General features: G+C 42.0%; 1 annotated feature.

The window, feature by feature from the left end:
- Positions 5,056–5,145: a silencer, noted in NCBI's record as "silent region_1730". NCBI's record gives its function as "represses an Ori minimal core promoter by ATAC-STARR-seq in GM12878 lymphoblastoid cells {active_cell/tissue: GM12878}" and the evidence as "EXISTENCE:reporter gene assay evidence [ECO:0000049][PMID:35858748]".

The following is a 15,942-nucleotide window of genomic DNA, read 5'->3' as shown; positions in this document are numbered from 1 at the left end:
GCTGGGGTTCCTGCCCGCTCCATACAGCAGGAGGCGTGGGTCTGTAGCTGCGGGTTGGGCGGCTACAGCAGCACCCAGGGAGCTCGCGTCCCAACTCAGAAGGGGCGGGGCTCCCACTGGCTCCATGGAGTATGCGGCCCCAGCTGCGCCTCCCTGCTGCAGCCAGCGTGATGGCAACAGCCACTGCCATCATAATAAGACCTTGTTTCTAAAAATAAATAAATATGAACCCCATTCAGTAGGTCTTAGAAAGTCCCTGGGTTTCTGCCTATGCCTTGGGCTGAAATTCATGAGTTTGAGTTTTTCATTTTCTCCTTAAGCTTCCCAGTGCTGGAAGAAGCAACGCTACTGCCAACCCCCCATCTCCCATCTCCCACTTAGTCCTTTAACTCCTCTTCTCTTGTCACATTTTCAGGTAGTAGCTTGGGCTCTCCTGAAAGAAAGCTCGAGACACAGATTTGGCTGCAGGTCGTTTATCTGGGCTGTCTGTCAAAAAGCAGACGAGGGAGCAGTGGGAGGGAGACAGGAAAGGATGGAAAATTACTATAACAAAGGGAGCATGACTGAGCTCCTCAATGTGTGGGCTCATTCCCACTGGGGGTCTTCTGAAGCACGTTGCAGAAGGCACCTCAGAATTGTCCTGGGATGGAAAGGAATCGGAACATTTATCCACCAGCTCCCATCCCACTTGGGTTGAGGTTTGCCCTCAGGGATGGTAAGTTTCCCCCCACTCAGGGGCTAGCTGCCCTGATGGCCTCTGAGGGGTCTTTCCTGGCTTTGGAGAAAGGCTTGAGGCAAGAAAGCAGAAAGAGAAACTGGCACACGCTTGAACAAGATCGTCACAGCTGCACTGAAATCAGGAGAGAACAAGGGGGACATGGCGCAGATACCAAGACCATCTGCTATGGGACCTCCATATCCTTGCCTGAAGTGGCTTTTTCAGTCTGGGACCACTGGGTAACTTTAGGGGCTGTTTCGTCACTTGGGCCATAGGCTGCTAGAGTTCCCTGCTGGGTTTTCACTGCATTCAGCTCCAACTAGGCAGATAGCAAGCCCTGACACAACTTACTTCTCTGAGGGTCTGTTTCCTGCCACCCCTTAAGACACCAATTTTTATATTTGTTCAGTTTCCTGATTGCAAACATCAGGACTGGCTTAGACTGATGTAATCTGAAAAGGGGGTTTATTGAAAAAGCACTGGGTAGCTCACAGAGTGGCTGAGATAACTAGAGTACCATGCTCAAATAACAGGCAGGAAAGGGGGCAGCCTGACCTCTGGCAAGGCAGCCCTCCACTCAGAACGTACTGAGGGTCTTTCAGATACTGGCCTGGAGCTGTTCTACTGAGATCTCAGTTGAACACATCCAGGAAGAGTAGATCAATCAAACAAACCATTGAGTAAGAGAACAGAGAGTGTTACTGGTCTGGAGACCCCAGGGAAGGAGGGTGCCTGCTGAACAGGTGGGGAGAGGAGGCACTGGAAACCGGAATTCCAGGCTGAGGTCAGCAGCAGGCCCTCTTCACTCACACCCAGGCACTCTTACCACTGCAGGAATTAGAGAGGGCTCCTCTTCCTTCTTGGACCTAAGGACATAGGCTTTTACTTCCCATCTTCTTATATACTTTTATTCTAAAAAAGGTTATTAGAATTAATAAGCTCAGTCATTCAGACTGTAAATCTACTTTGCTATGGGGAAAGAAAATCTTTAAAATGTGTACACATTAAATCCTGTGGAGTAATTTATAGGTACACAGCCTCATCATTGAATCCAGCTTGGCAACCACTTAAGTCTGATTTTTGCCATTAGCTTGGCAACCACTTAAGTCTGATTTTCGCCATTAGCTTGGCAACCACTTAAGTCTGATTTTCGCCATTAGCTTATAATGACTCCACTCTCCCTGAAGCCCCTCCTTCCCCACTAGAGGCACTTGAGTCTCATCTGCATGCACAGTCCTATCTCAATCTCAGATAATTCAGGCCTCAGTCATAGCGAGTTTAAGGAGCCCTACCTAGTCCAGGAGGTCAGTCACCCAGACCTGCTCTGACCACATGACCCAGTTCTAAGGCCTTGTTTGTGTCCAAGTTCTCACCAAACACCCCTACCTGGGCCTGAATATCTGCCTAGGAAACCTGGTAAGAACCTAGTTCCTCCAAGGCTGTGGCCCAGCCTTACTCTCATTCATCTTCCCAGGATTCTTAATCCCATCATTCATCCCAGAAATCTTGCCCAGGGCCCAGCCCGCTGTCAGTTCCCCTGCATGCTGACCACCTGCCTGTTTGGCTCTCCCTTGGTGCCTGCTACAGCACCTCACCATCTCACCCACACACAATGGTCAAGCACCGCTGGGACCCTCTCTTTTTCCCTTTGATAGGCCACCTATGCCCCCACACACATTCAGAGTACACGCCCTGGCTGGAATGTCTCCCACCATCCATAGCAGTGCCTGCCTACCCTCCCCCAGTAAGTGGGACTGGTTTCTCTATTCTGATCTCTCCTCCTTGGCCCCCTTTCACTGTTTACTGAGTTCTAGACTCCCATTTATTATAACAAAACTTGTTCTTTTCCTTGAGCCTGCCTGCTTATAATTCATGCCAGCCCTAGATAATGGTTCTTTTGTGCTGGTCTGCAGGAATGAACAATTCATTGATTTCAGGTAAAAAGCTGCTCTCTCTACAAGAGAATGGCTTCAATTGGGTTGTTTATTCACATGAAAAAATAGCCTTTCTCTTATCTGTATGCTATTACATTTTATTTATTCACTTAATTCATATTTATTGAGCAACTACTATATAAATCAGCTACTGTGTTAAGTGCTAAGAATATAGACGTAATTCAGGCATGGTTCTTACCATCAAAGAGCTTATAGTCTAGAAGAATGAAATGTCTTATATCAAAAGAAGTACAAAACATCATGCTAAGTGCTATTTTATTTGAAGCATAAGTAGAATAAGATTGATTTTTAAAATTATTTTTAGTACTAGGGGATATTTGACTAGACTGATGAGCCCAGGAAAGACTGGCACCCGGTGAGAGGAAGGCTTGAAAATGTTATAGGTCCCCACCTCCTAAGCAGCACCCAGAGGTGGGGGAAGGGAGCAGCTACCAGATGAGGGCAGGAAGGAGAGGAAAGAAGCTGAGGAGCCTCCAGAAGTGGATGGAAGTGAGACTATGAGCTAAATTTAAAAATAATTAAGCCCCAGGTATGTCAATCGTCATTGCTCAGCAAATGAACACTCTAACAGATAATTATTCTAGGTATCAGAAATGCATTTCATATGATCAGAAACCAAACCCAAGGAGAGAGTCCATGGAGTTAAGGAAAGATTAGTTGCTTCTCCAATGTCTTTAGAAGGCGTACAGGATGGAGTTAAGTTGCTGGAGCAGGTCAAGTGCTAAGAATCATCTTATGTGATGCAGACCAGAAAAATTAACAACAAACAATACGTAAAAACTAGGCTTCATTAAAAACAAAACCAAAGCAAAAAATCCATCCATTTGTTCTTTCTTTTAGAATCATTTAAACATTTTTTTAAATGAGGTAAAATTTATATAACATAAAATTAACCATTTTTCAGTGAACAATTGAGTGTCATTTAATACATTGACAACATTGTGCAACCACCATCTTCAGCCAGTTCCAGAACATTTTCATCATCCCCAAAGGGTCTCCATTAAGCAGTTACTCCACAGTTCTGGGCAACCACCAATCTTCTTTCCATCTGTATGGGTTTCACTATTCTGGATATTTCATACAAATGGAACCATGCAACATGTGACTTTTTGTCTGGCTTCTTTCACTTAGCATAATCATCCACATTGTAGTATGTATCAATACTTAATTCCTTTCTATGGCTGAATAATATTCCATTGTATATCTGTACCACAGTTTGTTTATCCATTCATTGCATCGATAAGGATTTGGCTAGGGTGAATAGTGCTACTATGAACATGTGTGTTCATGTATTTGTTTGAGTACTGTTTTAAATTCTTTTGTGTATAAGCTTAGAAGTAGGATTGTAGGATTATGTGATAATCCTATGTTTAACTTTTTGAGGAACCAGCCACTTATTCGTAACCAGGACATTGCTTTAGACCTGCCAAAAAATTGTAGAGAAAAAGGAAAATAGGACTTCTAGAAGCCCATTCATGGGAGGTGGAGGTATGTACTGCTGACTGGTTGTAAAACCCAATTCTTCATCTTCCTGAACACACAGCTAGGTTACATTTCCCAGCATCTCCTGCAGCTGGAGGTTGGGGGCATGTGTCTCCATTCCTGCCAGTAGAATATGAGCACAAGTCATGTGTGGTAATTTTAGGCTTGGCCCATGAAAACCACGTGCAGGCAATCCTCCATCCCCTCTCCTCTTCTGCAGGCTCCTTGTGGAGAAACCACACAATGAAGATGGAGAAGCCACCAGATGAAAAGAGCCTAGGGTTCAGAATTACCACTTGGAGGAGACCTGCCACCAGTTGGTACCATTGGTTTTAGGCTGTAAGTGAGTGAAAAAGCAACTGTTCTTGTCTGGAACCATGAGCGTTGATGAGAACTCCATCACAGCTGCTAGCATTACTTGACACTTACTCTAAAGGCAAAAGAGAAGGCCACACCTTGCTCAGAAAGACCTGATGTGTGGAGCTAGTGCAAGGGGTCAAAGACTGAGGAGAGGCCAGAAGGCCAAAGCAGCTTGAGACTGGAGTGATTTGAGCCCATGGTCTTTCTGGGTCACACCAAGAAAAAGATCCAGAGCCTGGCCTCTAGAAAGCTTAAACATTCTACCAGGCCAGTATCAGGGCCAGCCTGAGCTATGACTGGCTGTAGTGTCCTTAGCATAAGGAAAGAAATGAGGCCTCTGCACCTAGTAAATTGTTTCAATCAGGAAAATTGTGAGTTAAAAAAAAAAATGACTAGACTAAATAGACTTGAGCTTCCTTAGACTCAGAAATCTGTTGATGCTCCTCTTTTTTTATGCTTTGTTGCTTTCTTTGATAATTTCCCATCTGTCTTCTTAAGTTTCTTTAGAAATTTCCATCTGAAAACTCCAAATCAGGCTGAGTCTGATAGGGGATGGCAGAGTCAGGGCAAACTCAGGCCAGCTCTGCAGGGGGAGAAGAGCACCCCTAGAGGCTAGGTGAGGTAGTGCAGGGACTGGTGTTTCTCAATCTGTATCTTGTCTTTGGGACAGGCAATTTTTCCACCTGCAATACCAAGAGCTTCAGGCTTCTTAGCATCCCTGGCCCTGCCCCCTACATGGCAGTAGAGGCCCAGTTGTGACAGCCACAACTCTCCTAGGCATTTCCAAACACTCCTAGGCAGGGCCAGTACCTTAAACCCAGGTTGAGAACCAGTGAATGGAAGATGGGAAGACTAGATAAAAATAGAAAATTTAGAAATCTAAAGACCATAAGGGACTCCTGAAATGTGCCCTACCTTCCTCAAAGCAGGGCTGTTCTGTAGCACCCTCATAAAGACTGTCTCCTCTTTTTATTTTTGTTTTGTTTTGTTGGTTGGGTTTTGTTTTGTTTTTGTCTTTTGTTTTGAAAGAGGGTCTTGCTCTGTCACCCAGGCTGGAGTGCAGTGGCGTGATCATAGCTCACTGTAACCACAATCTCCTAGGCTCAAGCAATCCTTCTGCCTCAGCCTCCTGAGTAGCCGGGACCACAGGCGTGCCCCACCATGCCTGGCTATTTTTAATTTTTTGTTTGTTTGTTTGTTTTTGTTTTTGTAGAGACAGGGTCCCCCTATGTTGCTCAGGCTAGTCTCAAACTCCTGGGCTCAGGTGATTCGCCCACTTCAGCATCCCAAAGGGCTGGGATTACAGTCATGAGCCACTGCATATGGCCTCTCTCTCTCTTTCTCTTAAGTTTCTCTCTAGACCACTCCATCCTCCTTGTTGTTCACTCAGTTAACAACCAGTTACTCCCTGTCCCCAGTGTGGATCAAAATTTTCTGATTTTCAGCCAGGTGCAGTGGCTCACGCCTGTAATCCCAGCATTTTGGGAGGCTGAGGTGGGCAGATGGCTTGAGCTCAGGAGTTTGAGACCAACCTGGGCAACATAGTGAGACTTCATCTCTACAAAAAATACAAAAATTAGCCAGGCCTGATGGCACACGCCTGTAGTCCTTGCTACTTGGGAGGCTGAGGTGGGAGGATCACCTGAGTCCAGCGAGGTCGAGTCTGTAGTGAGCCGTGATTGTGTCACTGCACACCAGCCTGGGTGACAGAGTGAAACCCGTCTCAAAAACAAAAAATTGTGATTTTTATTTTCTCAAAAATGTGCTTTTTCCCCAGCCTTAGACTAAGCTTTTTAAACCCACGGCCGCAGGCCGCATGTGACCCCGGATGGCTTTGAATGCAGCCCAAGTCAAATTTGTAAACTTTCTTAAAACATAATGAGTTTTTTTTTTTGCAATTTTTTTTTAGCTAATCAGCTATTGTTAATGTTGGTGTATTTTATGTGTAGCCCAAGACAATTCTTCTTCTTCCAATGTGGCCCAGGGAAGTCAAAAGATTGGACACCTCTGCCTTAGACCTTCCTGGTGTCCTGCTGGCCTGTTATCAGCTGTTGGTCCATCACAGGATCCAATATGTGTCCACAGCCCACCTTATTTCATCTTCAGAGCAATAGTTGGGGTGGTGATCAAGGTCACCAAGGCCCTCAGGGTTAGGAGAACAGCACTGGAGAAGACTGGGGGCAAGAGGAATCCCAGAGCACTGGAGAGATAGGGACAGACAGGGTGGCTACAGGCTCCATACTGGGGTGCACTGGGACAGATGTAAGAGAGTCAGACTGGAGGCAAATGATAATGGTCTCGCTCCTCACCTGGACAACGGGTAGGAGGAGAATGCCCAGTGCTTTTTGGTGGAGCTTAGAGGTAGGGGCATCTCATGATGGTGATACCCCAGGAGATCTGGATCCCTGGGGAATAGAGGGGAGGAACTGAGCTCAAAAGTCAATGCCAGATGAAAGGAGAGGAGAGCATCTTCTTGCCTGTAATTCTTCTGAGAGTCACCTAGTTAGGATCAGATGCCTGACTATAACATGTCACTATCAGACGTGACAATGAATATGAGGAGTTACTCTGGGAAGAGACCCTTGAGAGCTGGCTAAGAGGGGAGCACAATAATTTATCTCAGGGTGGCTGAGTCAGGGTGCCCACCAACACACTGAAAACCCTCCAATGAATCACACTCACTGCATTTACTGATTAATTCAATCAGTCAATTGGTTTGACTATCTCCCCATTACCATTTTCTCTTAATTATAATATGCATCTCCCCTCTTCCTCGCACACATTTTAACATTTCTGAAATGGGGATATGTCTTAAAATAGACCTGCATGTTTATTGTAAAGTTTCTTTTTGAGGCAGCTGTTAAATCAGTGATGCATCTTATAATCAATGGTATATTAGAATGAAGAAAATAGGGTAATTACCAGAATTGATTTCCCGTTTTGATGTATTATAGATAAGATTATTTATTGGGTACCCAGAAACACCCGAGCTTCCTCACACATGCACATCTGTTTGTAGGCAGCTTCAGCAGGCCCTGCATATGCTCACATGTGTGGTCACCACCTTTGGGATTTGGATGCCATCAGACCGTCAGGGAGCCCAGAGAAATGCACAATGTGCTAAATCCCACCCTCTCTTTGTAAATGTCATGAAGAAATTGCTCTTGGCCCACTCTACTGCTGACTGTGCTGCTGATTGGTCTCAGTGAGGGGCAATGACGCTGTACCTGGCAGGAGACGAGGCCTGGCCAATGAGATTCAGGCAGGCAGATTTAATGATTGCTGCCAACATAGAAGCATCCCTGGAGCTGGGCACTCCCCATCTGGCACAGCAGCCCTGGTCCCCTCAGGGGCTCAGCCACTGCAGAACAACACAAACTGCTTACCCGTCTGCTCTCACTTCAGGACCTGGCTTGGTTATCTTCCTGTGATGGCTAATTTTACGTGTCAGCTAGACTTAGGGATACCCAGATAGCTGGCAAAACATTATTTCTGAGTGTGTCTCTGAGGGCATTTCCAGAAGAGATTAGCATTTGAATCAGTGGACTGAGTAAAAACCATTGTCCTCACCAATGTAGGCAGGCACCGTCCAATCCACTGAAGGCCCAGATGGAACAAAAAGGTAGAGAAAGAGCAAGTTTACACTTTCTTCTTGAGCTGGAACATCCATCCTCTTTTTCCCTCAGACACTGGAGCTCCAGTTCTCAGGCTTTCATACTCAGACTGAATTATATCACTGCTTTCCTGGTTCTCCAAGCTTACAGATAGCATATCTCGAGACTTCTCGAGTGAGCCAATTCCCTGAATAAATTTCCTGTGATATATCTACATATCCTACTGGTTCTACTTCTCTGGAGAACTTTGACTGATTTATTTCCCATCCTTCTTCCTAGAAGAAAGGATGGATGTGGGTGACGAAGTGATCTAGGCTTGTCTTGGGAAGGAGAGAGAGAATGATGGATGATCATGAAACCCCATCCGTTAGGCTAAAGAGGTGGAGAACGTGAGCAGGTGATCAGATGAGGCAGCAAGACCTCTGTGGGGAGATTCCATCAGAACCTTTCCATCCGAGGGGGTTCCCTGCCCCAGAGCCTGGACTTGGAAGGAGAAGTGGTACCCAGGGGATGAAGGCTCCTCTTCTCTCTTTGAGCCTCTAAGATTCGCAAGGCATGTAGGCTCGGCTATGTTTGAAAAAGAAAGTCTTTCCTGCCACCATTCTACTGTGGTTCCTCTGCCCAGGACACCACCCCAATCCAAATTTTATGACCGTGGAAATTTCTGGGACAGAGCGTTTTGCTTCTGACTGGCTCCCCTTTGACTGGTGGCTTTTGTGCTATGGAACGGGAGGGAGTGAGATGGGTGAGGAAGAAGCCTTGATGGTGATCCAGACCTGTGTGTTCTGGCTCCTTTCTTCCAGGCCAGGGAAGAGGGAAACGGACCAAGTGGAGCAAGTGCTGCAGCTGCTGGCAGAGGACCAGTCGCCCCACTGAAGGACTGTCACCACCCCTACTGCACAAAAGCTGTAGAGAAGCCCCAAGGAGATTGATCAGCCACCGTCTCTGATTTGTAATTTCACTTAATGCTATTAAGGGGGCAGTTTGGGCCATTTGCTGGAGAGGACTGGAAAAGTTCCAGAATCCTTGGCTAATGAATCCCAAGTATTAATCCCATTAGTCTTCCACTGTCTGCTGCTTCTGACTAGGTTTCCCGCTGCACCCCCTCCCAGTCTTCCTCCCCATGGAGAAAGCTCTCTGACCCCCACGGCTCATGGTGTGTTCCAGTAAGTCAGGGCTGGCCTTGCTCGCCAGGCTAGTTTTACCAGAAATTAAACAAGAAGCACGGGCTGTCATCCATGCAGGGCGACTGGGGTGACTGCTTCAAGAGAATCATGGAGTCTCAGTTTGAGGAGCACCAAGAGATCATGGAATTCTTTTTTCTCATAGCAGTGCTTAACAGCCTTTAAAGGGCACACAAACAAAATCACCTTCTGCAGAAGGTCTAGGCTAGGGTCCAAGGTATCTGCATTTCTAACAGACATACTTAACATTTTTATGCAGGTGGTCTGTGAACCATACCTTGTGAAATGACATTCTAGTTCTGCTATTTACCTGCTGTGTGATTTGGGGCACATAACATCCTATGAATGACTGAGGCCCCTACTGCTGGTTCTTACATGTTCTGGGCCCTCTGGTTTCTGGCAGGAGGAAAAGCTCCATGGTAATCACTCCACATCCTTCTCCAAATCCTGTGATCTGGGGCACGCATAGATGAGTCTTTTACTTCATTTGTGAAATAGGAAAAACAACGGATTGGGGACATCTGCTTCTGGAACAATGAAATAGACATGCTTTTCCCTATACCTCCTGCTCGGTACATCTAAACACCCTGGACATTACACATGACACTAACCCAAGGAGACTCTGAAAGGTGGAGGGTAACAGCAAAACTGGCAAGGGACCTTGTGACCTGAGGAATGACATGATGGTGAGGTCCTCAGATTTTCTTTTTGCCTCATGCATTTCATCAGCAAATAGTAAGAAAACATTTGGACAAATCATCCCTCTCCCCATAGTAAAAGCAACAAGGAAAAAGAAAAAAACATGCAATGAAAAAAGCAAAAGGAAATTTTAACAATTTTTAATATCTTTAGAAATGTAGGAAAATATGCAGCATCCATGAAACAAAAATAGGATTCTATAAAAGAAAACATTCAGAGAATAAGAAAGAGTTCTTGGAATTAAATATATATATGGCAGGAATTTCAAAATTTAAAAGCGAGTTGAAAAATAAAGCTGAGGAAGTCTCCCAAGACTCAGAATAAAAAGACAACAGATGCAGGGATGAGTGGGGACTGGGGACAGGAGACAGAGAAGAGTTAAGAAAATTAGAGGATTAATTTTGAGTAATAGGAGTTCAGGAAGGAGAGAATAGCAAAATGGGGGAAGACATTAGCAAAGAAATAATAGTTAAATTTTTTTCCAGATCTAAAGGGATATGAATTGCCACGTTGACAGTTTTCATATTGACAGATTTTCTAGTACATGAATAAAAAAGACAAACAACAGAGAACATCTTTGAGAAACTTCCAGAAACCAGAGATAAATGGAAGACTCTAAATGGTTCCAGAGAGAAAACAAAACAAAACAACAACAACAAAGTTTACATAGAAAGGATGAGGAAAAATACTAGAAGACAATGGAGCGATGCCTTCATAATTCTAAAGCAGGGGTTGGCCAGTTGTGGCCTGAGAGCCAAATCCAGACCGCAGATTGATTTTCTATGGCTCCTGAGCTAAGAATGGTTTTTCAATTTTTAAGAGTTATAGAAAGAAAAACATAAACAAAACCAAAGAAGAATATGTTACAGAGATCATGTGTGGTCCCCAAAATCTAAAATATTTGTTACCATTTTTTTTTAACAGAAAAACTTTGCCAGCCTATATTCTAAGGGAAAATCCTTTTCAAATTAAACAGTAAACAAGTGTAAGAATATGTAAAGCACACTTCCAAACTCATTCTATGAGGCCAATATTGCCCTGATACCAAAATCAAAGACATCACAAAAAAAAAGAAAACTACAAACCAATATCCCTTATGATTATTAATGCAAACATACTTAACAAAGTACTAGCAAGCCAATTTTTAGCAATATATGTAAGGATTATACACTGTGACCAAATGAGATTTAGTATGTTGATTTAGCATACTAAAATCAACCAATGTAATACATCATATTAATAGAATCAAAGATAAAAACCATATGATCATCTCAATAGACAAAGAAAAAGCATTTGACAAATCCAACAGCCTTTTATAATTAGAATACTCAACCACCTAGGAAAAGAAGGGAAGTTCTTTAATGTGATAAGGGACATCTCTGGAAAACCCACAGCTAATGTCATACTTAATGTCACAAGACTGGATGTTTTCTCCCTAAGATCAGGAACAAAACAAGGATATCTGCTCTCATCAATTCTTTTCAACATTATACTGGAGGTTCTTCCTGGTCAACAGGTTAAGAAAAAGAAATTGAAGTAATCTATCTTGGAAAAAAAAGAGATAAAATTATATTTGCAGATGACATCATCTTGTATATAGAAAATCTTAAGAAATACACTAAAAAATATTGGAACTAATAAATGTGTTCAGCAATGCATCAGGATGCAAGATCAATATACAAAAAATCAATTATATTTTGAAATACTGATAATTAAAAATCTAAAACTTAAGATGTCAACAAAATAATCACCTTTATTATCACAGCAAAAGGAAGAAGATGCCTAGAAATAAATTTAACAAAATAAGTGCAAGATGTGTACATTGAAAACAACAAACCATTTTTGAAAGAAATTAAATATCTAAATAAATGGAAAGACATCCCATATTCATGGATTGGAATACTTAACATTGTCAACGTGATAATACTCCCCAAACTGATCTACAGATCCAGTGCAATCACTATCAAAATCCCAGATTCCTTTTTCATAAATTCACAAGCTGATTCCAAAATTCATATGGAAATAAAAGGGACCTAGAATACCTCAAACAATATTTAAAAAGAACAACCAAGTTGGAGGACTCATACATCCCTATTCAAAACCTATTATAAAGCTACAATAATCAAGACAATGTGGTACTGGCATAAGGATCGACATGTAGATCAAATGAATAAAACTGAGATTTCAGAGATAAACCTTTAAATTTATGTTTAATTGATTTTCAAAAAAGTGTTAAGACAATTCAATGGGGGAAAGAGGTTTTTTTTCCACCAAAATAGGGAAAACTAGATATCCATATGCAAAATAATAAAGTTAAACCTCTATCTCATATCATATACAAAAATAACTCAACATGAATCACATACCCAAATATAAGAGCTAAAACTATAAATCAGGCCAGGCATGGTGGCTCATGCTTGTAATTCCAGCACTTCGGGAAGCCAAGGTGGGCAGATCATATGAGGTCAGGAGTTCGAGACCAGCCTGGCCAACATGGTGAAACCCCATCTCTACTAAAAATACAAAAATTAGCCAAGCATGGTGGCACACACCTGTAATCCCTACTTTGGAGGCTGAGGTATGAGAATCACTTAAACCCAGGAGGCAGAGGTTGCAGTGAGCCAAGATCACACCGTTGCACTCCAGCCTGGGTGACAGAGCAAGACTCTGTCTCTAAATAAATAAATAAAACTATAAATTTTCTAGAAAAAAATAGGAATATATCTTTGTGATCTTTGGTTATGCAATGGCTTCTTAGATATAACATCCAACATGAGCAACAGAAGAAAAATAGAAAAATTGGACTTTATCCAATTTAAAAACTTTTGTGTGTCAAAGGAGACTATCAAGAAAGTGAAAAGACAATTTATAGAATGAGAAAGTATTGTAAATCATATGTATCCAGAATATATAAGGAACTCTTACAATTAAATGATAAAACACAAGTAACTAAATTTAAAGATTGGCAAAAAAGTTGAATGGACATTTCTCCAAAGAGAATATACAAATGGCCAGTAAATACATGAAAAGATGTTCAGCTTCATTAGGCATTAGGAAAATGCAAATCAAAACCATAATGGGATACCACTCTATACTCACTAGGATCACTAAAATAGAACAGATAGAGAATGAAATGTTTTGGTAAAGAGGTAAAGAAATTGGAACCCTCATACATTGCTGGTGGGAATGTAAAATGGTGCAACCACTTTGGAAAATAGTTTGGCAGTTCTTCAAAATGCAAAACATAGAGTTAGAATATAAACTAGCAATTCTACTCCTGGATGTATACCCAAGAGAAGTGAAAATATATGTCTACACAAAAACTTGTACATGAAAGTTCATAGCAGAATTATTCAAAATAGCCAAAAGGTGGAAACAAACAAAATATCCATTAATTAATGACTGGACAAACAAAATGTGGTATGTCCATACACTAGAATATTATGCAGCAATAAAAAAGAATGAATACTGGCACATGCTCCGACTTAGATAAACCTTGAAAAAAATATGCTAACTGAAATAAGTCAATCACAAAAGACCATGTATTGTATGATTCCACTTATGTGAAAAGTTCAGAATCAGCAAACCAACAGAGTCAGAAGGTTGATTAGTGACTACCTGAGGTTGGAGCAGTAGGTTGAGGGAAAATAAGTGAGCAGAAATGGTGGAGGACTGCTAATGTGTACAGAATTTATTTTGGGGATGTCAAAAATGTTCTAAAATTAAATTGTGATGGTTGCATAACTGTGTGAATATACTAAAAACCACTGAATTATACACTTTAAATGGGCGAATTTTATGGTATGCAAAATATATTTCAAAAAAGCTATTAAAATACATAAAAACATTTTCAGATATGCAAGATTTCAAAAAATTAACCTCCCACTTATCTTTTCACAATAAGCTACTTGCAGATGTATTCTGCCAAAAGAAGTGAATAAACCAAGCAGGGGGGGAAACACAGAATCTAGAAAACAGGAGTTTTAACACAGAAAAGAGGCAAAGGGAATTTCCAGATTAATGGTGCAGAAAAGTTCCCAATGATAGTTGTGTAGCAAGCTTAGAGACTTACAAGTAACAGAAGGACAAAATGCACTAGGAGGAAATCCCCGAGTAGAAAAAGAAAAAAGAAACAAACAGACTACCTAATGTTTGCACATATTGCAATGATTTTTATTGTTCTTTCAGAAATTCTGAGAATGAATTCGTGATAGGTACCTGGAAAACTAAGAAACAAACAAACAATGAGGCAACTATTAAATCCAGGTAAAACATAAAGTAGTTTTATTGTATCTTCTAGATCAGCAGTGAATTGCTGTGATAGGTACCTGGAAAACTAAGAAACAAACAAACAATGAGGCAACTATTAAATCCAGGTAAAACATAAAGTAGTTTTATTGTATTCCCTAGATCAGCAGTGAATTGCATTTCCATGATCATAACATCATAAACATCATAAAATCAATGCTCAAAATTAATAAGCATTGATTTTACCCATAAGGTAACAATAGTATATTGAGAGGATGGGGAGGAGGAATAGTGTGAATATATTAGGCGGCCAGAGAGTGGGAAAGGATGGTGTGAGGGAACACAATCCTCATCTTTCATACAGGAGCCAAAAAACTAAACCTAAAAAACAAAACAAAAAAAAGAAATAGTAGCATAATCTGCTGTTTACAAATAAAGAGAGAAAAACAGAAGAAACAGAAAAGAGTTGAAAGCATTTGGTTCTAGAAAGCAGGAATTCAAAAAATTGGGTCAGAGGATTGCAATTTTTAAGTTATGGATGTGGCAATACGATTTAATTTTAAAAACAAAACTAAAAATAATACTCATGCATTAGTTTGATTTTTTTATAAAAAAGAAGAAATAGTTTTTAAAATAATGTAGACAGTGGTACTGCAGCCAGCAGGGCTCCTCAGCTGCAGCACTCCAACCTGTTTTTCTTTTACTTCCGTCTTCATCAGCCTCTCTCCTCAGTAATTGCCTTAGTCCCCTAACCACCTGCTCCTGTCTGCCTCAGTATGGTATGTTTTGGCTTCTGCACCTGGTCCTCTTGCAGTCATCCAGGTCCATTCCCTCTCTCTTGACTCTTCCTTCTGCTTTAGAATCCCAGACATGAGCTTGGGCCAGTTTGACTTGGAATCTGTCAGCCCCAGCCAATTAACCTGCTACAGTCTGGTTCTCTTGGCTGCTCCACTCGCCTTGTACGTACTCTGCATATACATCAGTGGCAGCTGTGAGCCCTGCCTCTTCCTGTGCCTAGAGTAGGCTACACTAAGCATGGCTTCCAGTTGGGTGGGCTGGCAAGATGAGTACAATGTCCTCTCCTGAGATCTGGATGCTGCATCTGTTAATGAAGCGACAGACCACTTATAAGCCACCAGGTCACTTCCTGACTCGTTCTAAATCCACTAAACTCATGGTTCCTTTTCAAGGTATAGAGCCAAGTCTTCCCATTCCTATAGTTACATAACTGATATTTTTAGCACAAATGCAGTATATTTGTCTGTATAACATTTTATCTTTTGGTTTTTTAAAATGTTGTTTATACCAATTTGTAAAGCAGGGGGCAAGGATAAATGCAGACTCAAAGCGTGAGTACTCAGGCACAGGCTGGCAGCATGGATGTGGTCCTTTCAGACCCTTGCCATCCCATGAAGAGGCATGCTTGGGATGAACGTGTCTTAGAGTGCCATGTGTGCGCTGTGTGATCCAGGAGAGGGATCACTGTGCTCCGTTGTCTTGCATATTAGTGATGGATGTGGGAAGGGATAGATCTTTAGCTTTGCAATTGGTTACAACCTTGCCAGCATGAGAAATAGCTTGTCTCCCCAGAAAAATTAAGTGAGGAGTTCGCATATCGGCATTGGCTCCAATCTGAGTTCTTGAAGCCATCCTATAGGGCCAATATATTGCTGGGTTACCTA

This window comes from Homo sapiens, chromosome 1 (genome assembly GCF_000001405.40).
Source record: "Homo sapiens chromosome 1, GRCh38.p14 Primary Assembly".
Lineage (NCBI taxonomy): Eukaryota > Metazoa > Chordata > Mammalia > Primates > Hominidae > Homo > Homo sapiens.
The sequence above is the reverse complement of the archived record's forward strand: the minus strand, read 5'-3'. Positions and strand labels throughout refer to the sequence as shown.